This window comes from Homo sapiens, chromosome 4, assembly GCF_000001405.40.
Source record: "Homo sapiens chromosome 4, GRCh38.p14 Primary Assembly".
NCBI lineage: Eukaryota > Metazoa > Chordata > Mammalia > Primates > Hominidae > Homo > Homo sapiens.
In genome coordinates, this window is record NC_000004.12 from 106,242,461 (window position 1) to 106,270,110 (window position 27,650).

Consider the following 27,650-nt stretch of genomic DNA (forward strand, 5'->3'; position numbering starts at 1 on the left):
CTTTCTTACATTTCTTAGCTGGCATAACGACAATGTCACAGTGGTATCATCTAAAAGCGAGCTTCTATCTCGACCTTGTCCAAAGCTTTCACCATCCTCAAAGAGAAAACTGAAAAGAAATTTTTAAAAATAATATGTACACAAAATCCAGTTTATTGTTTCTTCTAGAAAGTAAAGTTTATTCTAAGTCATCAATCCCTTCATCAAAAAAGAATTAAACTTTAGACTGGATGTTTAATAAAACAATGTTTTTTTAATTATTATTATTATACTTTAAGTTTTAGGGTACATGTGCACAATGTGCAGGTTAGTTACATATGTATACATGTGCCGTGCTGGTGTGCTGCACCCATTAACTCGTCATTTAGCATTAGGTATATCTCCTAAAGCTATCCCTCCCCCTCCCCCCACCCCACAACAGTCCCCAGAGTGTGATGTTACCCTTCCTGTGTCCATGTGTTCTCACTGTTCAATTCTCACCTATGAGTGAGAATATGCGGTGTTTGGTTTTTTGTTCTTGCGATAGTTTACTGAGAATGATGATTTCCAATTTCATCCATGTCCCTACAAAGGACATGAACTCATCATTTTTTATGGCTGCATAGTATTCCATGGTATATATGTGCCACATATACATAAACATATACATATGTGCCACATATACATTGCATATAAAACAATGTATTGAGATTTCTTCAAACAAGTCTCATTTTCAAATATCTCTTGAGTTGGTATGAATGTAAGTATAGAGAATTTCAGAAAAACAAAAGTGTCATTTACAACCCTTTGTTCATGCAGTTTCAATGCTAACAGTACTCTCCTGACATTAACTCAATGTGTTCCCAAGAAACTTTATACGTGTAGAAAAAGATAAAGGGAAGATGAAAGAAAAAGCATATTGGATAGTAACCTCATAGAAGAAAGGATATTAAATAATAAATGAATAAAATTTGTTTACAATTTCAATAAATTACTTTTAAGAATCTACATATCCTTTAAACCATTTCTTCTTGGAATTTCCGTAATCTTACCTCTAACTTTCTACTTAATTCAATGTATGAATGGTATAATCAAAGTTAACATTTAAAAATCAGATTAAGAGAGAAAAAAATAGAAACTAGTCAATCCAAACAATACAAAAGTTTAAAAAGTAAAGAAAAAAATGATGAGCAGATGACTTCTACAGTTGCCTACAATAATCAAAACTAAGTCTAGAAATCTAAAAATTAAAATTTTATTTTATTTTGAGACAGGGTCTCTCATTCACTCAGGCTGAAGTGCAGTAGCATGATCTTGGCTCACTGCAGCCTCAACTTCCCTGGGCTCAGGTGATTCTCCCACCTGCAGCTGCCTGAGTAGCTAGGACTACAGGCACACAACACCACGCCCAGCTAATTTTTTTTCTTTGTAGAGACAGGGTTTTGCCATGTTGCCCAGGCTGATCTCAAACTCCTAGGTTCAAGCAATCCACCTGCCTTGCCTCCCAAAGTGCTGGGATCACAGGCATGATCCACCATGCCCAGCCTAAAATTAAAAATTTAAAGTATTAGTAGAAGCTCAAGAAATTTAGGTTCATATTTTTATGAATAAACATGAATAGCAATGTTAATAACAATCTTAGCCCCAAGGCTGTAGAGGTATTTAACTTCCAGTCTAATTTCTAGCATGATATCTTCTTATACAGTTAGGCAGATTTTTTTGCAACACACTAGCACAGTAATGATCTCTAGGACACACAGTGAGACCACAGAGTTCATTTACATTTACAAGTATATTTGGAAAAAGAACATAGTTCTTCATAGTAGGAACATTAAGCTAGTTTTTAGTTAACTGTCTTAAATATTCTATTGTGACTTGTGTATTTTTCATTAACATCAATTATTGCAAGATATTCCATAATATTAACTTCACTTCAAGTAGGTCACAAAGCAAATTACTGATCAAAGACAACTGATGGGAACTCTGCAATTAGAAACTTTGGCCAATCAAACAAGGTGTTGATTCCAATTGCTTCCAATAATCACTTAGCTGGGATGCCTACCAAAAAAATTTTAAAAACAACCAATTTAAAAAAAAAAAACACCGATTTTCTTTTTTATTATTACCATAGAATTATTACCATGTATTTATTTATTTAAATTCCCAAGAGAAGTTTCTTTCCTTACTTGGGGAGTGTGCAGATAGGTGGTTTGGATCGAATGATTTCCTTGTTGACAAGCTCTTTCTCCAAGTCACCTCCAGCCAAACACCAAAGGTAATACACTTCTTCAATAGATCTTTCTGCCAGGTAATCATTATTTATATCTATTAAAAGCAAATTTAAGGAATCATTGTATTATATTTTCTACTTTTATTAAACGTCAACAGGCAGTAATAGCTGCCATTCTAAAAAAAATAAACTCTGAAGAACAGACTTCCAGTTCCTAGTTCTGATTGTAGGGAGCCTGAAATTTGCTACTCCATCCTAACAACAAATAAAAAGTTGAACAGACTGAAAAATCAACAATTCTTGGATCTGTAAGAGAGGTGAGGACATAGGACAAACTTCTGTCCCCAGGACTGGAGACAGAGAGGAGAATAAAGGGAGCTATGGCATTCTGGAACAGACATTCATGAGCAGTGCCTCAGGAACCAGTGCCAAGTTTGGAAAACCTAAACTGTAATTGATAAATTACTGGAGGCTCAGTGTGGACAAGTCTGAGAGTTAAAAACTCCAGAGGGAACCAGTCAAAAGGGATAGCCCCACACTTTTGTGAGTCTGGAGACTGACAAGGTTCTCACAGTAAATATTGGAGGAAAATGCCCTTATGTTTCCAGCAGTGGCAGAGGAAATGTAACCATTCTGAAATACAATGAGCACTGTTCTTAACAAGGTCTGTCTTCAGGATAAACCGGTTAGTCAGAGGCTAACTCACTTAGATAATATCAGAGCCTAACTGACCTGGAGAGGGGAAATACCAAAATGCAGCCAGCTCTAGCCTTCTATGTGGTGGTTAAGGTATGGGGAACAGAAGCATTCTGTAGTCAGTCCTACAATTTAGGTCTCAATCTTTAAGTGAGCCAGTCACTCTAGACAAAGTGTTTCCTTGCCCTTAAGGGGTGGCTAGAACGAGTTGGAGCTTGATATTTCCCCTCTCCTACTGGAGGTATGCCATGACTGGCAGATTCTGATTCAATTTTTGTAATAATTTGAATGCTCCCGACTGAAAATAATATACTACTAAAAGTGGCTTATATAATAAAGACATTTATTCATCTCTGTTAATAAAATCATAGGTACAGGAGGGGCCTATGCTTATCAAAATTCTAGACCATTTTCTGCATTCAGAAGAGAAGAAAGTGGTGAACCTATGCTGCAGTACCTTTCTTGACAAGAAAATTTGTTTTTTCCCTATAAGTAGCCCTTATGTCCAGCACTTTCATTTAGATCCCATTAGCCAACTCTAGTTCACAAGCTTACTGCCCATAGCAAGGGAAACTAGAAAAAAACATCTGGAATTTTCACCCTTTATAATGAATACATAGTATTGGAAATTTTACACTCTATATTGGAAAAGGAATAAGGGGAGAAAATAGCACATGGGGAGGCAACCAACACAAATTGTTCCTTCCCTCATATCTCAAGGCAACGGCTGGCTGCCTTTTCTGAAGTCTTCCTTGATGTCCCAGACAGAAATACAGAATTAGGTGCTCCTGCTATGCTGCCATTGTGCTATATTCATATTGACCTTCATTTATAACAGTGATTGTATAATTAAATGTCTGTCTGCCTTCCCATTTGGCATGAATGTTACTTAAAGATACAGTATGTGACACATACCAGGAACTCAATAAATGTTTAATTGAATGAATGTTTAGTAACCATTTTCTGCTATGACTTAAGTCATAACAACTTTTCAGAATAAAGGTAACTGGTGTCACTAAACCTTACATTCCAAGAGTCGTAATCTTCACACAAGAATTAAAAGTCTAAAAGCTGATATTCTCTTCAATATGCAGAATATAATGATATATAATTCTTATCAATAATATTATTTTTAGAGATCATTTATAAATAAATTATATAGAATATCAGTAACTTAAATAGAAAGGATAAACTGTTAGCTCAAATGTGTGTGTTTATGTGTATTCTAGCCACTCCTTAAGGGCAAGAAAGCACTTGTTTAAAGGCTAGAGGCACAGGCTCACTTAAAGATTCAGAACTAATCACAGGATTGACTACAGAATGCTTCTGTTAACTTTAACCACCACACAGAAGGCTAGAGCTGGCTGCAATTTGCTATTTCCCCTCACCAGTTCAGTTAGGCTCTGATATTATCCAAGGAAGTTAGGCTCTGACTAACTATATATATATATTTGTGCGTGTGTGCATGTACTTTGTTTTTTGTTGTTGTTGTTGTTTTTTGTAGAGACAGGATATCTCTACGTTGACCAGGCTGGTCTCAAATGGCTGGCCTCAAGTGATCCTCCCTCTTTGACCTCCCAAAGTGCTGGGATTACAGGCATGAGCCACTGCACCCAGCCAGTCAGTTATATTTTAATCACTTCCAGAATTGTCTCTTAATTCCCATGATCCCACCAATATATATTGTTGATAAGTTCAAAACTGAAAGTAGGACAAGGAAACTTCTTTAAAAACAAGGCTCATATTATTCTCTATGCTTTAATTTATCATTACCTTTACACAACTGACTGATATCCTCAGGCAGAGTTAAATCAGCACATCTCAGAGAAGATGAAAACAGACTGGCAGGTTTGGTAAAGGGGGTATATAAAGGTGATACCTCACTGAATACTTTGTCCTTCATTAATTGATCTGGGGTTGGCCTTGAGAACATTTAAAATACAGAGCATGAATGAAAGTCATAAAAAATTTCCTAGAATAATGGCATACATTCAAGAGAATGGATAAAAGTCTTAAATACCTCATTAGCACAGAAAATAATACAGCTCTCTTTTGCAGAGTCTAGATGCATACTTTTATATTATAATCAAATAACTGTGAGTAAATACTGAATTTTTTTTACTTATGTTGTACTTTACCTCATGATGTATCAAAAATATCATTCCATAAAAGCTTCTGCATTGTTTACTTTTACCCTGACTAGCATTCACCTGCTTTACTGAATATCTTAAATAATTAAATAATATTTATGCAAACTATTATAATAATACCATTTGGCTTTTCTTCCTGTCCTTTAATGTGGTACATTGACACAAAACTATTTCTCTCTAACATGTCTTGATAAAGTTGTTTTTCTAAAGGCAAATTTGTATACATTATTTTCAAACATTACATAGTAAAGGAATTTAGGGATAGCTGTATGACTAGTAGTGACATCATCAAGTCAAAGTCAATTAATGAAACTTCTAAGAAATCCTTTTTTATTGTCAACAATTGTTAGTTTATCACACCACTGATCCAAGTTCATTGCTATAATACATATTGACAACAAACTTTTATTCTCATTTCACTGATGTTATTATTGGGTCTAGGAATACCTACATTCCATAGTTTAGTTAATATTCTATTTAAAAGCTTGAAAATGAACTAGTAACTTCTTTAGTGTATGTCAGTTTTCTGACCGTAGTTTAACTTTAATTACTTTTTCATTAATTCACAAAAAATGAAAGCTTACATCATTCACAGTTATGATACTGATGTCAATTATATACTACTCCATATGTACATTATCTTTAATCCATTATATTAAAACAAGAAAAAAACCAATTGCTTATGCGTAAAGGATCTCAATGTAATCCCAATCTCTAAATAATATCAACCTCTTAGAAGGATGGAAGGTAAGGCACTTATTCAAAAGATCTATCACAGTTTCAGGAAGCTCCTGGTAAATAAAGAGAGAAAATAATTAATTAAAATGATCAATTTTAGAAATATACTTTATTCAAATGTTTGCTAATCTAGAAGTTTTTGATGTTTTTAAAGTTTTTATTTGTACTTTATACAAATTTAGTCACTGTGAAAAAGCAAATACTTAAAGAGAAATAAGCATTGCTTTAAAATAGCTTCCAACTGGATCCCAAGTGTGTAAAATAAATTTTCATTCACAGATTGCTATGGTTTGAATGTGTTCCCTCCAAAGTTTAGGCTTCATGAACTTTGAAACTTAATGGCCAATGTGATGGTATTAAGAGGTGAGGCCTTTAAGAAGTAATTAGGTCATAAGGGCTCTTCCCCTGGTGAATGGCATTAAGAGGCTTATAAAGGTGAGACCTCACATAGCAATTGCCTAGCTTGCCCTTCTGCCTTGTAAGGACAGTGTTTCTCTCTCAGAAGACTGCAGCCCTCACCAGACGACCAAACGTACTGGTGCCTTTAACTTGGACTTCCTAGTTTCAATAACTGTGGAAAAATAAATTTTTGTCTTTATAAGTTACCCAATATCAGGTATTTTGTTATAGCAGCACAAATGGACTAAGACCCAGATTAATGACAAACCTTTATAATGTCCAAACAACCATGCTCTTCAGCCAGAACTATTAAAGTGTCATCTACACAATCTATAAAACAGAAAAACTATATGAATAAATGCTATTTTTCTAATCTGTCCAACAAACCAGAAAATAAACTGATCAAAAATGTTTTAATGGAGTAATGCAATTTTGAAACTTAAAATACTGAAAACTTTATCATTTTGTTAAATTTCTTTACATGTTTTGATAAAAATGAAAAGCTTCAGATAAATACTAATTGAATAACTGACACTGAAAGATACCAGCTTAAATAGTTTGATAAAGGAGCAATTCCTTTACAAGGAAGGTAAAGATACTCTAGCTCTCTCTGTCTCTCTCTAAATATACACATGCAGACACACATAGCTGACCCTTGAACAACATGGGTTTAAACTACACAGGTCCACTTATATGTGGATTGTTTCCAACCAAACATGGGTTGAAAATACAGTATTTGTGGATGCGAAATCTGCATGTATGTAGGACCGACTTTTCATACACATGGGTTCTGTGGGGCTGACTGTGGAACTTGAGTACACATGGATTTTGGTACATGTGAGGGTGCTAGAACCAATCCTCTTCAAGAACTGACTGTATGTAAACAGCGCTTTTTAAGAAGGCTTTGTAGTTTTGTTTTGTTTTTTCATGATTACAAGACTAACTTATTTTTATTGTACATAATTTGGAAAATGTACTTACATTTATTTGGGAATTTAAAGTAAAAAGTTTAGGTTACAGACCACATTTAAGAATCTCCAAGGCTTCTTAATAGCTGTAGTATCAATCTTTGTAATTAAATGTGGTAAATCTGGTAAAACTTTTGCAAATTTATTTATAATTCATTATTATTTAATGTTTACTAATACTTTCCTGTACATATTCTTATTTGTAAATGTTTTTAACTTGGATACTAATCTGTCACTCTTTTGCATAAAGTGTTCTATCACTGTTTTTCTCTCCTTAATTACCAAACATGCTTAATTAATTCCACTCCAAAGTAGATTACATAAATTTTTATTAATTTGAATTATACATGTTTGGATCCACATACATGAAAATTCATATGAGCCTTTTATAAGGAAAAATCAATATTCTTCTTGAGTTGTTATTTGTACATGATTCATCAAATAGAAAGATAGCCCAAAAGTTAAGATACATTGTCTGAAGGTAAACTGCTACAGAAATACAATTTTATATTCTCATTTTGATTTCACAAGTTAATTTACTTGGCTAGATAATAAAGCTGAGATTATTTCCATCTAGGTTAAAATTCCTCAGAGAATAAAGAAATTTCTGCTGTAATATTTTAGAAGGGACCTCATATGCTGTTCTGCTGATCATTACCACTGATCATTAGCAACTTGAGTAAAGGGAGGATATTTCAGTGTACTCACTATTTCAAAAGAACACATCCTCAATGTGCATGATTACTAATAGTAAGTTATATTTATATTTGAAAGATAAGCAATTGTACGACACTTACCCAAAGTAAGCAAAAATTTTAGTCTTTCAGAAATATCCAAGCTCTGAAATAATTTTCTTCCCTAAATAAAATGAGAAAAGAAATTTCTATTAATATTTACATGTTTTTTCTAGGAAGGCATTTTTCTCCCCTTATAGCTGAAACTGATTTTATCAGGCATCTTTATTTATCTCCAAAAGTTTTAATGGATTTTTAAAGTCAGCTCCACTAAAGAAAAATTACTGGTGAAATAACATTTTAGAAAGTGTTGCATAATAGTTATCATTTAAACATTTTATACATCTAAGGGTCATTACATTCTAGTTTGATGTAAGCATTGTTCACTTTTGAGATCCACACATACCTGGATATCTAGATGTATTCCAGGCCATATGGAGTCTTACTTTATTGAGACCAAGATGCCTCCTGGGTAAGACTGATTATACTCTTTCGCCTACCGAGCTAATTCTTACTTAAATATCATGATTCGGTTAGTCTGTTTCTCCATTAAAAAAACTTCATAACACTCCTTCCTCTTACCACAATAACTTCAGACAGCCATCCTTCATGCTCCTACAGCACCTGGTATATTTTAAGATGCACACATTATATTTTAATTATTTCCTTACTAGTCTGCCTCAGGAGGCTCCTTAGTATAAGGTCTGGAGTCAAACACTTATACCTTCAGCATTTATGAGTTGAGCAATGATTGTGTGCCAAATTGGACTCTTCCACCATCAAATAGTTATATAAATTTGGCAAACTACTTAATACCACCTGAAGTTTCACTTTTCTCATCTGTAAAATTAAAATATTAACTGTACATATACCACAGGTTATGGTGAGGGTTATGTAATGCAGAATATGCTTCATTAATGTTGGCTATCATTATATTTCTCTTATCATAAACAAATTAAGCTTATATGATCATTTAAATAAACTTAGAAGGAAAAGGCTTAAGATTACCTGGTGTTTATAGAAAAAAGAGATGCTTTGATTTTTTTTTAATAGAGAAGAAAAAATGTTCTTAAACACTTACCAAATCAGAACTACAGGTAGAGTTCATTGAAAAAAAGCTGCTATTCTTCTCAATCTTACATTACTGTCATATCAATCTTCTAAAAACGTAGTTTTCATTTCAATATCTTGTTAAACTTTTAATGGTACTCCATATATCTTATATAACTTAATATAAACATCTTAACTTTGTAAAAATATACACATTATAGAGATATCAAAATAATATATATCTGGTAACATTTACATTCACACTTAGTAAAAGTATGTTTCCAGAGATGCCAAAAAATATGTGAAATTATCAAACATGATTAAGTCAAATTAAGCCTTTTCTCCTCATATGTAATTAATTTGTACAGCAAAAACATACTATTATTAACTTTCCTCTCCAAAAGATTATTCCAATAAATGCACAATTTCCTTTTATTATATTAATATTTCTTTATACATACCACACAAAGCTCAAATAAAATGATTCCAAGAGACCATACATCTGATTTGGGGCCAGAAGGCAATGGTTTTTTACTTGGCATGTGATCAGTGGTTTTGAAAATTCCCTGTGCAATTACCTCAGGGGCCAAGTACGAGGGATACCTGTAATGATACATTAAAATAATGAAAAATTACAACAGGGAAAGAAGCGATAGTACATTTTTACAATCAATGTGGTAAGATCTATGTAAAAGTCTCATGCAATTAAATTAACAACTGTTGCTAGAAAGCATTCTAAACTAACCATCATAATACAGAACTTTAATGTCAAGGAATCAAGAGAAAATATACACAAGTCTGAAATAGTTTTAAAACCTTCATGTCTCCCTCCAGCATTAGCTCCTTTATTTGCTTCTCTCTGTGTTTTTAACACAGTCCTCTAGGCTTCCAAGTGTTTTTCCTTCCTTCTTATTGCCTATCTTCCCTTAACGCTGAATTAATATTTAAAGTGCATTTTATCTTTTAAAAAAGTATTTATTTTTAGTAGTAAGAATGTTAATGCTATAAAAAAGATACAAATTGAAAAGTAAAACTCCTATCTCTACACCCCTGTCATCCATACATATTTATGTATATATAACTTTGTCCACCCATCACCTCTGCCCCACATGGTGGAATACTATACATATTGCTATATACCTTTTTTCCACTTAAAGTGTATTTTAGAGATTGTTCTTTAAAAACACAAGTATAGAGTTTCCTCATTCTTTTTGAAAACTCCCAATAATTTCATTGATGTACTTAATTTGATGAAACAAAAACATTTTGGAACTTCCATTCTTTTGCTATTACCAATAATGAGATGAATATATTATGACTATTACATATCCCACAAGTATATGCATATAAATGACAGATATATTCTTAGAAGTGGCATTCCAAGATCGTAAGGTATGTGCATTTTAAATTTTGATTTACCACACCAAGTTGCCCTTTGGGGAGGTTGTATCAATTTATATTGTCATAAGTAATACATGAGGGTGCCTATTTCCTCACAACTTCACTGACATAAAACGTTTTTTGAAAACCGGTTTAGCAAATATTGAATAAATGCAAAACACTGCCTATTAAATATGAATAAGGCATAAAGAAGAAAGCTTCAATGAACACCCATGTACCAAGAAGCAGTTTAAGTGAAGAACATAAAATTATCACCAAAAGTCCCTTTGTGCTTCTCCCTGATTGTATCTCCACCCCTGTTCCTCCAGAGAAGACACCTGGAATTTTTGTGTTTGTCATTCTCTTCCATTTCCTGATGGTTTTACCATGTTTGTATCCCTAAAAAATGTACTGTTTAGTCAAGCATATTTCTGAACTTTATAACACTGGAATTAGGATGACTGTATTCTTTTGCTCTTTCAATCAAGATTATCTATATTGTTGGATGAAGCTATATCCATTAAATTCTTATTTCTATTATATGAACATAACATTATTTATACATTCAAATGGCAATGGCATTTAGGCTGTTTCCTGCTTTTTATTATTAACATTATGAACAACGTTGCACAGAATGCCATGTATGGTATACATCTGCAAAAGGTTCCCAAGGTTAACAACCTAGACCCAAATTTCTAAGCCATAGGATATGTGCACTTTCTACTTCATTACACAATGCCAAATGTTTTTCAAAACGAGTTATACCAATCTATACACTTGCCAGCAGTGAATGACTGTTCCTATTGTTTTACTTCTTCACCAACACTTGATATTTGACAGACTTTTTAATGTTTAACAATCTGGTATATAAAATCTATTGTGGTTTTACTTTGCATTTCCTTGAAAATTAATGACATTGAGGCATATGTTCATATGTTTATTAGTCATTTGGGTTTATTATTGTGTGATATGCCCATTCAAGACTTTCGCTTATTTCTCTAGTTGTTTTGGGGTCCCCAAGACCACTCTCATGTTTAGAAATTCACTAGAAGGACTTACAAGACTTAGCAAATAAGTGTACTCACAGCTAAGATTTATTACAGTGACATAGTAAGGGCATAGCTGGATCACAAGGGACAAAGATAGAGAGGGAGTCTCCAGGAACCTATATACAGGCTTCCTTATGCTCTCTCCCTCCTATCAGGGATCACACAGAATACATTCTTCTTCCAGCAACAAAAATATAGCACCACGTATGTGATGTATCTTTCATTTTCTTTTCTTTCTTTTTTTTTTAACTTCTTTCCAATCTTGAAGAACAAATGTTATGTGATGTTTCTGGCCAGAGAAGCTCATTGAAAATCCAAGGATTTTATTTGGGACTTGTCACACAGGCACTCTCTGCCTGGCATGTACAAAAATTCAAGAACTCAAGAAGGAAAGCAAGTGTTCAGCATAAACCACTTTGGTTGTTTACAAGCACAGTAAACTAGCCTCAGCAGTTAGGCATCCATGGGGACATTTCTGCAACCCAAGTTTCAAGGCAACAGCCAAGGGCAAACATTGCTAGCAGGACTTAGTTTCTAAGGATAGCAGTCTTAGGCTTCCTATGATAATCTTTTACTGCACAGTTGTTCTTTAACTCCAGATACTAATGTCTTCTTCAGTAATTATGACTTGAAATATTTTCTACCACTCTGTGGTTTTGTCTTTTCTTTCTCTTTACGGTATCTGTTTATGAATGAGAAGTTCTTATCTTTCAGTTGAATTAAACTTTTTTCCTTATACTTAATGATTTTGTCAAAATAATCTGTTAATTTTCTCAAAATTTCAGTTTAGCCTTTTATATTTAAGTTTCTTGATTCATCTAGAATTCATTTTTCATATGATGTCAGACAAGGTACAACTTATTTTCCTACATAAATAAGCAATTGAGCCCTGTTCCCTTTATTGAAACCTCTTTCTCCCCAAGTAGTGCCAGCCGTATACTAAATCAAATCTCCACACATACATAGGTTTGTTTCTTGGCTCCCTCAACTGTTCATTTGGTCAATTTGCCTAAGAGTATACTATTACACTATTTTAAATAAAATATTTTTATATAAAATATATTTTATTAAATAATTACTGAAAATTGTTAAGAGCTCTCAAAACATACATACCTTTTAGTTTCTCTTTGGGAAAATGCAGGCTCTTTGTAGGTGTTTGTTCTTCTCTACATACATTTTAAAACTATCTTGCCAAGTATCTTCTCTTTCACATACTGAATTTTTATTGAAAATAGATAAGATATAAAGACAGGTTGTAGAGAACTAACATCTTTACAATACTAACCCTAACAATCTATAAACATGATATCTCCATATTTATTTAGGTCTTCTATAATGTCTCTCAAAAAGATTTATATTTTTTCCATAAAGGAACATATCACGGGATTTTGTGGTGTCACTTTGTCAGGTGGAAACCTCTGTGGCCAGTGGTGCCTTTGCCTGAGTTTTGCTGGGACCCACTGGGCCCGTTCCATCCACTTGGACTGGCAGGCTGTGCTCAGCTCGTGCTACTGGCCTGGATGCCACGCGGCCAAGGGAGAGCCAGGCATGGCGTGGCAAGGGGTGTATGAGTGAGTGTGGGGTCTGGCCACTGTGCACAGCCAGGCACACTGGCTGTGGCATGGCAAGCAGGTCCAGGTGCTGGCATAGGCACTGGCTTCCTGCAAGGCTGTGGTTGGACCAGGTGCGTTGCAAGCAGCTTCCATGGCTGGCACCAGGGAACATGGTTGTGCCCGGAAACTTGGAGATGCCAGGAACTGCAGAGCCCCAAAGAGAGTGTCACAGCCCTGGCTCAGAAAGTTCCTAGGTCTGGGCTCCCCAAAGGGCTGCAGCTCCTCTCTCCTTCTGTCTTCTTTCCTTGCCACCCGCAATGTGGCAAGCAAGGGGTTGTTTCAGCCCTGTTTGTTATAGCTGTTTTAGCTCTGACATTTGGCAGGTCCCAAATTCTTGTCCTGCATCCAAGAAGAATAAGGTACATGGACAAGTGAAGGGTGAGCAAGGTGAAGAGATTTATTGAGCTATAGAACACCTAAAGAGACCCACAGTGGGTAGTTCCTCTCCACTGGCAGGGTGTCCCAAGGAGTGTCCAACACTCAGCTGAGAGGAGACCCTAGGGTGGATAGCTTTTCCCCTCAGGTGGGGTGTCCCTATGAGCATTCAGCCCTCAGCAGAGAGAAGACCCTGGGGTGGGTAGCTCCTCTCTACAGCTGGCCATCCATCATCTGCTCAAGTCTGGCTGAGTCCAGGGTTTTTATGGTCCTCAGAGGGAAGAAGTGCACGTCCATTGGTCCATGGGCGGCCATGGGTGGGCCCAGAAAAAGCACCACAAGTTCCCACTCAGGTCCACGGGACCTGCAGCCCATCTCCCATGCTTCAGGCCCTCCTGGGCTTGAAGGCAGGGCTTCACCAGGGACCTGCCCCCTTCTACCCAGGAACCTGTCTGACTCCTGTCACTCTTCATGGTGCCCAGGCTATTCGTGCCACGGAGCGCCTGCCCGCCAGCACTGAGCTGCCCTCAGCCCCCCTTCAGACTCCCTCCCTTGCTTGTTGGTGTCCGAAGTCCACAGGGAGTCAAGGCAGCAGGGGGCTGGAGTGTCAGTGCTGCCTCGAGTGTGCACACACCCAGCCGGGGTCCAACAGCACCTGGGCTTGACCCCAACATCGCTCCAAGATCAGAGTGTGTACAGGGAGCCGGGAGAGGCCAGGCAGTGGGAGTAGACATTTCCGAGCCTACAGCTGCACCTGGGAGAGCAGGGCTCCTGCCTGCTTCCGGCCCCCAAGAGCACAGGGAGGCCTGGGTCTGCAGCACCAACTTAGGCAGCTGCAACTGTGCCCGGGAACGTGGGGCTCCTGCCTGCTCCTGGCCCCCATAGGCTCCGTGAAGTGACAGCCCCAGCAGCACCTCCTCCACACTGCAGCCGGCATCATGGTAGTGGCCATCCCAGACAGGCCGCCACTGCCATCAATACCTGATTTGATTCTATAAAGTACCTATTTTGCCTGTTCTATATCTTATAAAAGCTATACATGGTATGATGCTATACATGTTTGTTTTATATACTATATATTTCACATACAAAAATTTAACCTCCCATCTCAATTAGAAAAAAAAGAACTACATACCTGAGGGCACTTGCGTATCTTTTTATAAACCCTCTACAACTACCAATGAGACTTAAATAGAGGATATACTCAGTATAGTTTTGCTTTAAAAAAAAAATTCCTATAAAAAATACCCATTAGGATGGCCTTACAAACAACAATTTAAGAAGCAGGTAGTAAATAAGAATTAGACATAGGAGCAATTGCTAAATTTGAATCCCAGTGCCTAGAAATAAAAGGAATAAGAACCGTTTTAGAAGAGACATGGAGTGAAATTTTGCCATACTTATTACATATGTGCATGCCCTTTCGTCATTTATTGTCAGATTTAGTCATGAGCACCACAATCTAGATTTTAAAACCAGTTAGATTAAATTATGTCCTCTTACAATGATAAGTATAATCAAAATGTATTTAAATATATGTATCATCTATGTAATATATATTAAGTAGGCATTCAAATATTATTTCTATTTTTCTTCCTACCTTTTCTACAGCTACCTCCTCACACTATCATTGCTAGTACTTCTTATTTACATTCAAAATACAAGTCAATTAAGTCAGGGAATGTGACTTAAATTCAAATGGGTAAATTTGTTTTTTAACTCCTTTTTCATTTTAATAGAATGATGATGGTGATACCAGTATCTTCTTATGATTTGCTCATGTATTTCTCTCATATACAAATTCGTATTGTGTTATTTTACCCTAAGATGATACTGCTCTTCCAAATGAATGTGTGATATCTCTAGAAACAGCTGAAGTCTAGTGGAAGCAGCACTAGACTAGATGTTATAATACCTGTGTTCTAATTTCAGTTCTACCACATATTCTATATGTGATTTGGGTTTCTTCATCTGTAAAACTGGAATATTACTGCCTACGTCACAAAGCTGTTATAAATATTAGTGAATATATAGACATTAAATAAAAATAAAAAATTTAATACAAATGCAATGGTATACTTTTATCATCACCACAATACATCCAGAAGTCAGTTTTCATCTTTTTTCCTGATTTCCAGCACATCTAACCCAAAAATAATAATAATGAAAAATCAAGCAAAACTACAGGTAAATTGTTATATCAAAAACTTCTGACAGGACAGAGATAAACTTTGTTTCAAATATTTTAGTTTCCCTTTTAATCACAGGAAAATTATTAAAAAATAATAAGCTCTAGAATTGTTATTTAATGTAGTTCATCTTTTTTCAACAACTTTCTCTTCTGTAGCATAGCATTTTAACACTCAAAGACAATTACCAGAACTTTGCTGTGAGTATGACTGATGAGGTAAATAAAGTGGCTTTCATCATCTGTTTGATGTTTTAATAAGGTATTAAGCTACTGGCCAACTGAAATGAATGCCCAATTTCCAACTCTTTACAGTATTTTGAAACAGATGGTAACATTTTACTTTGTTGTTCCTTAATATTTGTCTTTTGAATCAACTGCAAGCTTCTTCTGGTGTAAATATTTTCTTTCATGCCTTAGCTGTTTGATCACTTTATTTTTCCTGGCTAATGTTTCACATTTTGCTCTTTGATATTTTCTGGTAAGACCCTTTGGGTCTAAGACTTCAAAGCAAGCCAGACCAAAGGGTAACACAAGACCAATTCTATCCAAGCATTTTAAATTCAAGTGTAGCTCTTACTTGATATGCTTTAAGAAAAATCACCTCCTTTCTTCGATTCATCACTGAAACCTAAAGTACCTTTAAATAAAAATCAAAAACTTAAAGTAATTTTTAGGTTTTTGGATTTCTTTCTTACACAAATTGATTTAGACAAAAGAAGCAGCAGCAATCACTTGTACTACAGCTACTTAAAAGTCACCTCGAAAGGCATTTATCATACATGACAAAGGAGCTAGAGCCTCACTAAAAACTTATATTCAACTATAAGTTGAATAAAAAACCCCTTTCATATTCGAAAGGGCTTTTTTGAACAAATAAGAAATTGTAGACTGTCTTTGCAAAATACCATTTTCATGCTTATGAAACAAGAATTGGTTTTTGCCTGTAAGTTTTCAATACACAAAACTGTAAGACTACGAATTTATGTACCTTAATAAGCAGTCCATCAAAACAGAAAATTCTCCCACTAAACAATGAGCTTCTTGAGGACAGAAAGCTATCTTATTTATTTTTGTAAAACCAACAGGCATAAGAGAAATTGCTCAATAAATGTTTCCTCACTGAATAAAGTTTAAGATTATTATCTATGTCTTAATAATAAGACACAGTCATAAACTTAAAAAATTTAGTTAAGAAACCTGTAATTTGAGTTATAAAGAAAAAAGGGCAAGTTATATATGAGGCTGGCTTTAAAAAAAAAATCAAATTAAGTTTTTGAGTAACATTCTGTTTGAAAAACACACTCCATGACTCCATATCACAATTCTCAGTAACGGTGTGATAGAACTGATTTTAGGAAGCCCAAAGAGGAAAACACAAATGGATACTATCAAAAACAGTCACATTACAATTGAAAAAATATGATTAATGTCTCTAGGTTAGATAATAATACTGCATCAAGTTTAGTTTCCTTGTTTTGACAACTGTTCTGAGGTCATGTAAAAAAACAAAGTCCTTCTTTTAGAAAATACAAACTGAAGTACTTACAGGTTAAAGTGCTATTATGTAATTAATTACTCTTAAGTGATTATAAAAAACAATCATTATACACATACACACATATATGCTCGGAGAAAAAACAGAGAAAAAGCAAATGTAGTGAAATGTTAACATTTGGAGAAACTGATGAAGGGTAGAGAGGAATTCTTTATACTATTTTTGTAACTATTTTATCTAAAACAATCTCAACTTAATCTTCAGAAAAGAAAATAATAATGAAAATGTCTAAAAGCAACCACACAAATATAACACAGAAATCCGTATCAAAAACATCTACTTGAATATGCATGAAACAACCTTCCATTTCTTTTGTGGAGGGCAACATACATCTGCAATTCCATAACAGAAGTGATTAAATAAACCTTTCTGAACTTAAACATAGACTTTCAGGTATGGAATTTATCTCTATCTCTAATATCCACAATGACTCAACTTGAATCTTAATATATATCTTAGAGAAAAGGGAATTAAACATAAAACATTAAATTGAAAATAATGTGAGAGTGATGTTTTTCAGTCTCTTGATGCACACACATTATCATTAGTTGAGAATCTAGTCATCCTTCTTGCCTTAAGTTGATTTGATTCTGAATGAAATACAGATAATTAGGAAATATTATAATGTAAAGAATGTCAATACTGTTAGCTTCTCTGCCAATTCAATGAATGATGAACATCAACGAGGATGCTGGGAAAAACTCATTGTCTACTCATTTTAAAAGTATATGGAAAATTGAGATGCATTAATTTTAAAAAAGCTGTTTGCATATCAAAAAGGAATATCAAATATAATTAACAAAATATACATGTTATCAAAGATTACAAAGTTAAAAAGAAACTCAAAATAGAGGAAAACATATCCTTACCCTATTGGGAAATCAACATCATCACCATGAGCTGTCATGTGATAAAGTCCAAATTTAGCCAATTTAATATGTCCCTATGATAATAAAGAAAAAAAACACTATCAAATAATTTATTATAATTGGCAACATATAATTTATATTATAAAATTATCATTATACATTTTATAACTAAAGAAACCATTATATAACAATATTTTATCAAAATGCCACTGTAGATTTTAAAAAATCATAATTTTATAAAAAACTATCTGCCAATAGTCTGCTTTATACTCATTAAATATGTATATATGCATATGTACACATATATATCTCAAAATGACAAATGACATTTTTCTTTAATATTTTTGCTGTTACATTGTCTAGTTATTTCACAAAACAAAAAGGCAAAAACATTCTCATCTGTCTTGAAACCTTGGTTAGAATGTTTTGTGGTAATTTTCACAGAGCAAATTTTTTTCCATGGAGTTGAAAGTCCATTTATAGTTATAATTTAACTGTGAAATAGGAAAACTTAACTTGAAAAGATCAGTTCAAAAATCATCAAGATTTTGGTGAATCTGCTAGATTTTCAATAACTTTTTATATTGTTTGAGAACAAAAATAACTATCATAAGTATAAGGCTCTTAATAAATGATAAATATAATTTTACATATTTTAAGTTTTTCCCTTTTAATCTATAAGGCTTTAAAATATTAAGTTGATCTTAAAATTGGTTTGTCTTCTCAAGAACATTATTTCCAAGCATTATAAAATATTTATATTTAAAAACAGCTTAAATTGATAAGGTAATGATTCTTTACTGCCATAAATCTGAAACTAATGAGTACAATTTTCTATTTTTGTGTTTGTGTGTTTGTTTTTTAGAGACAGGGTCTCACACTGTCATCCAGGCTGGAGTGCATTGGTGTGATTATAGCTCACTGCAGCCTCAAACTCCTGGGCTCAAGCAATGTTCTCATCTCAGCCTCCCAAGTATTGATTTGGGAAAAGAACCAGAGAACAAGGATAATCCTAACACAGCAAATAATGCCCATGAAAAAATTTCCTCCAAGTTGTTTTTATGTATTTTATGAAAAGGAATCAAATTACAATTATTCCTGAAAATATATAACCTTACTATCCATAATTCTCTTTGAAGGGTTTACAAGCTTCTTCTTAATGCCCCATAAGATTTCCAGTAGAGAAACAGCACTTCAATAGTAAAAGGAGGTAGGCATGAACAGTTGGTAAATAAGGAGATAAATAGAAGAGGAAAGAAGGCAGAAGAAAAATAGAGAAAACACAATGCAGTTGGTTTATATGAATAACATTCTAGCAAAAAGAGCCATTTTCTTAAAAATGAAAATAAATTAAGAGGAGGAGTATACTGGGACGCCACAAGGCTTTAGAAATAAGAGTAAAATAAAAAAACCATAAAGTTAGAAAATGGGTCTTGTGGGAAAAATAATCCATGTGAAAGATATACAGATTAAATAATTTAAGGATTATTTAATCCTTAAATTCAAAAACCACAGTTACATCACTTTCATATAGACTTTTCATTATGAATATTCTTAAAACATATTCTGATTCTATTGTTCCTCTGACTGAGTAGCCCTGATCCCAGTTGCTTCCAATTTCAAATGATATATAAATATTTATTACATGATTTAACAATTACCTTTCGGTCCAACAGGATATTATGAGGAGACAATGCCCTGTGTACTATACCATGTTTGTTCATATACTGCAAGCCCTGAAGAACCTCAAATGCTATACACAAAACCGTTGAACAGCTACAAAGAAAACAAAAAGTCAAAGATCAATTACAAAGCAAATAAATAACTTGTTTTAACAAGTGAAATGTGACCTAGTGAAAATATTCAAAAAGTTATATTTTTATTGCTCCTCTTTTATTCTGAGAAAATAGAATCTATATATTTTCTAAAATATCTACCTCTACATATTTTAGGTTTTCTGATTATAACAGAATTAATCTGACAAAGATCCTACAGTTTCCTAAAGGCTACTGTAATAGCAGTATTTGGTTCTTCCACGAAAGGGCTTTAATTTTGGTGGTGAGTGCAACTAACCTATAGCAGGTTTGGCTTCGCCAAATTATCAGGTTAAGTTTCAAGTATATGGCAGAACTAAGTCACTAAAAACTATTTTGCTCAATACAAAATACCTAAGCCCCCGAAAAAAGTAGTAACAATATATTTTATGGTATACAAACACTAGCTTATTTTCCATATTCAACCTATAAAGCAATCTCTGGTCATTTATGATTTAGCAAACTTTTCTCTTTAATTCTTATCCTATCCTCTACAAGCCATCCTTCACACAGATATCCTCCAGTTTCCTTCTCCTTTTCCCTCCTTGTCTCTCTCACCAACCATCTCCCTAATTTTTTTTCCAATTTGCAAGTCTACTCATGCAAATTATCAGGAAACAGGTACTGTATTTGGGTAAATACTGCTACTTAGCAGTAGTAAGTAGGATTTGGAACATGTTTTAATTTTTATTATTACACTTTATAAAGTATGGATTGTTCATTTGCAGACATTGGTGCCTGCATTAAAATATTTTCTTGTCAACATTCCTTTTCTTTTTGAAAAGTTCAAATCTCAGAGCATAAGACAAATGTAATACTCACATACAATTAACCTAGCTTTATTAATTATCCTCTAATGTTTTAATCAAAAATTGTTCACATAGGAAATTTCCCCATACCTACAATATTAACATTTTCCTTTCTATCCATTTTTTTTAAATTTTTCTAAAATTAAATTAGTGTTTGCAGATAGCCACTAAACATAATTTTTAAAACCAATAGTAGAGATAATATGGAATAATAAAAAATATTCAATCCACAAACAGGCAGAATAAAAGGAAAAAAGAACAGAACAAATAGAAAATGACTAATAGATTAAGTACAAATGGTCTCAATTCACCAATTAAAACATAAGGATTGTCAGATTTGATAAGAATTTAAACTCAGCTATACTCAGTCTATGAGAAACGCACTAAATAAAAGACATAGGTTAAAAGTTAAAAAATGGACTAACAGATTGCCATGGGCTTGGGTGGGGGGTAGGTGGACTACAAAAGAGTATGAGAAAGTTTTGTGGCATGAGGGAACTGTTCTATCCTTGATTTTGATGATGGTTACATAATTTTGTTTATCAAACTCATTAAACTTTACATAAAACAGGGTAAATGTTAAGGTATGTAAATTATACCTTAATAATCCTGACTTTAAAAAATACTAGATTGAATAAAATTTTTACAAAAATAATTGTTGCAACCTGATTCTCTCTCCGAAATTAAAACCAAAAGAAATAACCAGAGATAAAAGCTAAAATTTGCCTCTATGATCCTAGTTTGACTTTCCAGAGGGAATCAGCAGGTTTTGTTTTCAATTCTTCTGGTGGTTAGATTTTTACTTACTTACTAACTCTTCACTATGCAAGAGGATATAATTGACGTATTTTCACAACTTTCCTATTTTTCTTCCTCAAGTCCTTTTTATTACATTGTTTTACATTAACAAATTTTATTTTACATTATCAAATAATCATCAGCAGGTAGTTTTCAATTCTGGTGGTAGACTTTTACTTAATATAACTAACTCTTCATTCTGCAAGAGGATACAGTTGTCATATTTTCACAACTTCCCCAATTTTCTTCCCAAACTTCTTATCTGTATTCATTATATTGTTTTTACATTATCAAACAGTAAGTGGGATAAAGGAAACCTACACTCCTTTCTGGAAGGTGAAACAAATAAGTAAATAGATAATGTGACATGTAGTGATTAAATGAAGAAAAAAAAATGAAGTAGGGAAGACAGATAATGTGGTCAGGGAAGTCCTCACTGAGGTGACACTTATGTAGAAATCTAAAAGAAGTAAAAAAGACAGGTAGGTCTCTGGAAAATGTATGATTCGGGCAGAGGCCACAGCAAGCAAGTCCTGAACTGGTATAAAGTCAGCAGCTCACAAAAGTGTATTCAGTGCGTGCAGTAGAATGAGCAAAGATTAAAGTGACAGGAGATAAGCTCAGAGAGATAGCTATGAGTCAGAAGACGTAAGGCCCTTTAGGCCACTTTAAGACCTTTGGGCTTTTACTCTGAGAAAGATGGGAAGTGATTGGCACATTGCCATATGATAATAATGATTAACACATATTTACTGTAGAACTAAGCACAGAAAGAAATAGAAACCTAGGCCACTTAAACCCTAGCTGTCAAGAGAAAATGTCTCAGTCATCAAGATTTAACGGATACCATAATTTTATAACTCTATTTATGAAGATTATCATCAGCTACTATAATTTTTATATCTCATACTATTTTTAAATTTCTTTTTTGTTTAGCTATAAGACATCTTGAGAAATTGTTTCATACAGAGAGCATGAGTAGAATATTTTCATGCACGGCGCATCTGAAAATATCTTATTCTTGCCTTTAAACTTGGAAAGAATTACTCCATTGTCTTATAGCATTCTTTATTAATGGCGAGAAGGCTAGTATCAGTCTGTTTCCAACTTTGTTGCAGACATCCTGTCACTCTTCCCTGGGAAGTTTTGAGGATTATTTTTACTTTATCCCTAGAGTTATAATATTTCAGCCCAATATGTCTAATGTGGGCATATTTGTGCCAGTCATCATTAAGCATGTACTTTCAATCTGAAGACTCACATGTTCCATTAACACAGAAATATTCACAAGGAAAATTTGATTTGCTACATCTTTCACTGTTTTCTCTCTCTTTTTCTCTAAGTTGGAACTCTTAGTAGACAGATGATAACTGGAACTATTTTTTTAATTTAATTTTTTTGAGGATATAGCAGGTATATATATCTATGAGGTACATGAGTTTTGATACAGGCACAAAATGAGTAATAATCACACCATGTAAAATGGGGTGTCCCCCCGAAGTATTTATCCTTTGTGTTATAAAGAATTCAATTGTACTTTCAGTTATTTTAAGATGTACAATTATTATTGACTACAGTCATCCCGTTGTATTAACTTTCTGTTTTAAGAGCATAATCTTTAGTCCTATCTATTATATAACTTAATTCCAGGAGAGAGAGAGATCCAGAGATCCAAAGAGAGAGAGAGAGAGCAAGAGGGAAAGAGACAGAGAGAGAGTGAGAGAAATCCAAACCATTAATTTCCAGCATTTCTATTATGTCCTCTAGTTGTTCCTTGTCGATAGATACTGTTCTTTGGTTATGGATACATCATTCCTTTGAGTATCTCTGAGAATAGTTAGAAGTCTTTTAATTCTGGGAAAAGAGTATTATCTTCATTTCCTCTATGGTGAGTACTCCCTCTCCACCCCATCTCCAGGCTCTGTTTTTCTCGAACTATTTTTTTACCTCAAATATTACCTCTGGTAATCCGATCCCTGGTTGTCATATTTTGAAGTAAAGGAATAAGCTGATATTCCCCATAATGTGTGTAAAAAAGAAGCAATGAGGGTTACTATTTATAAAGAATGCTATTTAAATTGACTGTAAAATATTCCTTTTTATCAAATAATTTCTCCCATATTAAAGTGCCATATCACTGAGTCTTAAACAAATAGGGAATGTGTGAAACAAGCATAATTTGGGATAAACAGAGTTTTCATAAACATCTTCAAAAAATAAACTAACTGTATAAATGGCAATATTCCAAACTTAAAAAAAATTATTTGTAACTTATCAATAGTTATAGAGGCAAAGATTTTATGTAAAAGCACAATTACATTGATAAATATGTGCACATGAAAGAAAACAAAGTCTTCCCCTTAAAAAAAAAGAGAAACATTCCCTGAGATTAGCAAAATGTAAACCTAGTTTTATGAACTCATTTGGCTCTACAAGTCAATTTTAGAGTAGCTTCTCTTGTTCTTGTCTGTTTCTCACACAACTCACAAAAAACTGATGCCATATTCAGCTATGACACTAGAGGACCTCAGCTGCATACTACTTCAATATAGATGTCTTTCTCATGAAATTAAAGCCAAACCTTTAAAGTGATTTTCCCATTGAACAAGTTCTGAAACTACTGAACACATAGACTGCATTTTCTACTCTCTATACTGTGCTTTTGCTAATTGTGAGCTATTAGACATTAGACTTGCATGTCAAAAAGCACATTCATGTTAAAAATGAGCTGATGAACATGCATACCAAAATAATTTTTAAAAATTCAAACATAAATGACATACCGTTTCTTAGCTATTACTTGAGAGTACATGTCAATTACAATCTGATTTGCTTTTCTGTCCTTTCATATTCTCAGAATTTGATTTTTTAATTTGTTTTAAAATGTAAGGTATAAAGAGGAACAAAAAATGCTATTTTATACCATGAGAAGAACAAATCAGTATTTGCAGAATTTTATGTACTTACTAGCTTTTTAAGTTATATTCTTTAATACTACCAATAACTTGGGTCATGAAATTTTTTAAGTAGCTAATGCAACAGCAAAGTAAAACTATCATATGTCTAGTAGTAGTTAACATGTTACAGTTTAATTGAACATGGACACTAAAAGAAGATTTAGGATTAAGAGAATTAGATTCACACAGTTATATAAAAAAGATACTGACAGGGGACAATGGGACTTTATCCTACACAATTCCCAAGTGAGAATCTTGTTAAATAGACAAACCCGTCAGTAACCAAGAAAATGTAAAATTATACTTTAAATCAAAAAATATTCTACTCCTTTTGACATTTTTCAGTAATTATTGTTACTTCAGGGCCTGGGTGGCTAGCGTTTACTTTGTCATCATTGTCCTGAACAACTGAACATAAGAATCCCTAGTGATTATAAATACAGATAAGACCAAAAGGTAGCTTTCAAAATAATATAATTGATAACTCCCAATAAAGCAAGATTACATTTGAGGACATTTTTACTTATATTAAAACATATCAATTGAGTGGCTATTTGTTTGTTACTGAATTTTTGGGCCCACAATTACCAAGAAGAAGAATTGATCTGCACTACAAACAAGCCTATAGTATACTTAGAAGGACAGATTTACAAACTGATAATTATAATATAAGCAATTAACTAAGCAGATAAGAATTATTCATCATTTTCCTTTGTCTTCAAAGAAAAATAAAACATAAAAATTTACTTATAACATTGGTGAGACCAAAAGAGACCTACAAAAGTCATAAATCTTGGGAAAGTAAGCTTAAAATCTAAAAGAGAAAAACACTATCACCACCACCACCATCACCAAAAAAGATGTTGATAGTTTCTAGGTATGAGTCAACTTGGTTGTATTTGGATTTTCAACATGGCTCAATAAATTTTCAAATCTATTAGGTTGGTATAATCCCAAGTATATTTTTTTATCCCTTTCCAGATATATTTCAAAGGCAATTTACTGTCTTCATGATTAAATCGTCCATAAATCATCTCTAGTTGTTGGTTAAAACATACTGAGGCCAAGATCATGGATTTAATTCTTAAGCAGAATGGAAGACTTCGTATGTTCACAGCCACAGGTTTTCATCTAACCCCAGCCAATACTCCCAAATACAGATAGTCTGTCACAATGAGACACTGCACAACCTATATTTACTTAAAACATCCAAATTTTTAACTACTACCTCCTATACTTCTCTGTTCCTCATTCCTGAGGACCCACTCTTTAAGCTCATCAAGACCTTGGGGTCCCTGTTCTCTAAGCCTCCTCTGTTACCCCAGCCAAGTGGCCCCTTTTTGACATCATTCTTTATTCTGACAGATATGGTTTGCCATTTCAATAATTTTTTGCAAAGATCCTTAATGGGTTCTCATTCAATGGCTCTCCCTTGTGGTAGAATTGAACTCCCTTTCTTGATTTCCGACAGTACACAGTTGAGGGTTTCTAGATTTTATGGTAATTATTTCTATATAAGCTTGTCTTTCCCACTGTATCTTGAGTATGGACTAGCTTATTCAACTATGACTCCGTATATCTATCAGTGTCTGTAATGTGCATGTTCAATAAGCATGTATTAAAAATAGGTGTTAAAATACATATATAAAATAATATCACACAATGGTACAAGGGGGAAAGATAATTAAATTCTCTACCACTAATAGAATAACACCTCAAGATAGAATGTATAATCTTTTAGTTAGTCAAGAAAACACAAGATGCTCAAGTTCACCCAATGGCTATCCACAAAAAAAATTCATTTGCTGAAAATACAACTCTTCTAGTCTTTTATTTACTGAAAGAAACAGGAATAAATCAGGATATACTGGGTAACAGGATAATCTTGTTAATATCTGTCTAAAACTGTAAATTAGACTAAATTGTTGAGAGAGATTACTACTGGCCTCAAACCATCAGCTCTTTTAGGTATCTGCAACATTTCCAAGAAGAGATGTTACTCAAATTGCAAGAAATAGGGGCCAGGAAAGAGAATGAGAGGTCAAGGTTGCTGAGATAGATTTGGAAATCATTCATGTATAAGTGATAACTAAAACCACACATGCTATTTCCTCAGATCCATGATCCATGATATTTCTAAGGGCCACTCCACAAGCCAAAACACCCATAGTGTCAGCTAACCAAGGGAGGAAACACATTTCTGCATTCTATGAGTTCAAGATGTTCTTTCACCTTATAAAACCTGATCACTCCCACAGAAATTTTCCTTTTGGTCTAAAACATTCCTTACTTGGTATCAGCCTGAATTAAAATGTTAAGAGAGAGGAAATACAGATGAAATATATTAATGGTTAGCTACTGTGTAATTTAAGAAATGGAGAGGAAAAATAAAATGCTTACTAATGATTAATGTTCAGATAATATTACAAGTGAATAATTCTGTGCTATCTTCAAAGAAACTTTCCTTTATAACTTGAACACAAAAGAGCTCAGCTAGTATATAACTTTTAAAGACTCATTAGTTTATAATTCCAGAATTTGGGGAGGGTGTTTCCAATGATGAGCTAGTGTCTTTGAGGCTTTTAATTTGACACTTATCACTTACTAAATTTTGATGTTTTGTAAAAAAATACCACAATATTTAACAGAGCAAAAAGGATGAAAAATACAACAGTTTCTGGAATTGAAAAAGGAAATAACACATTTCAGTACTGGGCACACATGTTTTAGCCTGAAAGGACACAACTATCCATGCTAAATTTAAGAATGTATTTGCCTCAGATTCAGATGTTTTGAAATGGAAATTGCATTGATAAACTGCTACCTAAAGATTGTTTTATAGTAAGTCTAAAAAAAGTAATCAGTCCATCTGACTTTCAGTTGTGAGACTAGGCATATTTTACAATTTAGCTTTAACTCCAAAATAATCAAAATAGAACCCTGTAAGTCTGGAATGTGTCTAATTCTCAACAGGAGACAATAAATTGGGAAATTAACTTTCCAACTTGAATACTAGATAACTTTTCTTCTCAGCAGAAAATTAACTTGGTAAAATCAAATACATATGGAAAACATAGTCTAGCGGTTTGAGGTTCAGACATAAAGCCAGGAGGCTCTGTCACTGATTTGTTATGCTTAGACAGTGTTCCAACTTCACCCTGCCTCCATTTGCAAATTTATAAAGTAAAAAATGTAACACCAAACAGAAGCTAAATGGAGATCAATGAGCTATCGGCCCTGCACAGAATCTTAATCATCTTAAAAGCAAAACAAAATAAACAAAAAGTCCAAGTCTC

General features: G+C 33.7%; 1 protein-coding gene across 22 annotated transcripts in view; it reads right to left on the reverse strand.

The window, feature by feature from the left end:
* Positions 1-27,650, reverse strand: part of TBCK (TBC1 domain containing kinase) — a 275,085-nt gene that overhangs the window by 200,862 nt on the left and 46,573 nt on the right. For 15 of the 22 annotated variants that reach the window (XR_001741353.3, XR_007057982.1, XR_938800.4 and 12 more), the window contains exons 4-12: positions 19,638-19,752; positions 17,977-18,050; positions 9,406-9,547; positions 7,958-8,018; positions 6,461-6,522; positions 5,785-5,846; positions 4,679-4,827; positions 2,166-2,304; positions 10-109 (exon numbers count right to left, since the gene is read on the reverse strand). Coding sequence is in view for 17 of the 22 variants with exons in the window: in NM_001163436.4 (NP_001156908.2) it covers positions 10-109; positions 2,166-2,304; positions 4,679-4,827; positions 5,785-5,846; positions 6,461-6,522; positions 7,958-8,018; positions 9,406-9,547; positions 17,977-18,050; positions 19,638-19,752 (904 nt within the window). In the remaining 5 variants the exon portion in view is untranslated. Of the gene's footprint in view, positions 1-9; positions 110-2,165; positions 2,305-4,678; positions 4,828-5,784; positions 5,847-6,460; positions 6,523-7,957; positions 8,019-9,405; positions 9,548-12,486; positions 12,588-17,976; positions 18,051-19,637; positions 19,753-27,650 lie in introns of all 22 variants that reach the window. The other 7 variants (XR_007057984.1, NM_033115.5, XM_047416425.1 and 4 more) reach the window with 3 other exon arrangements.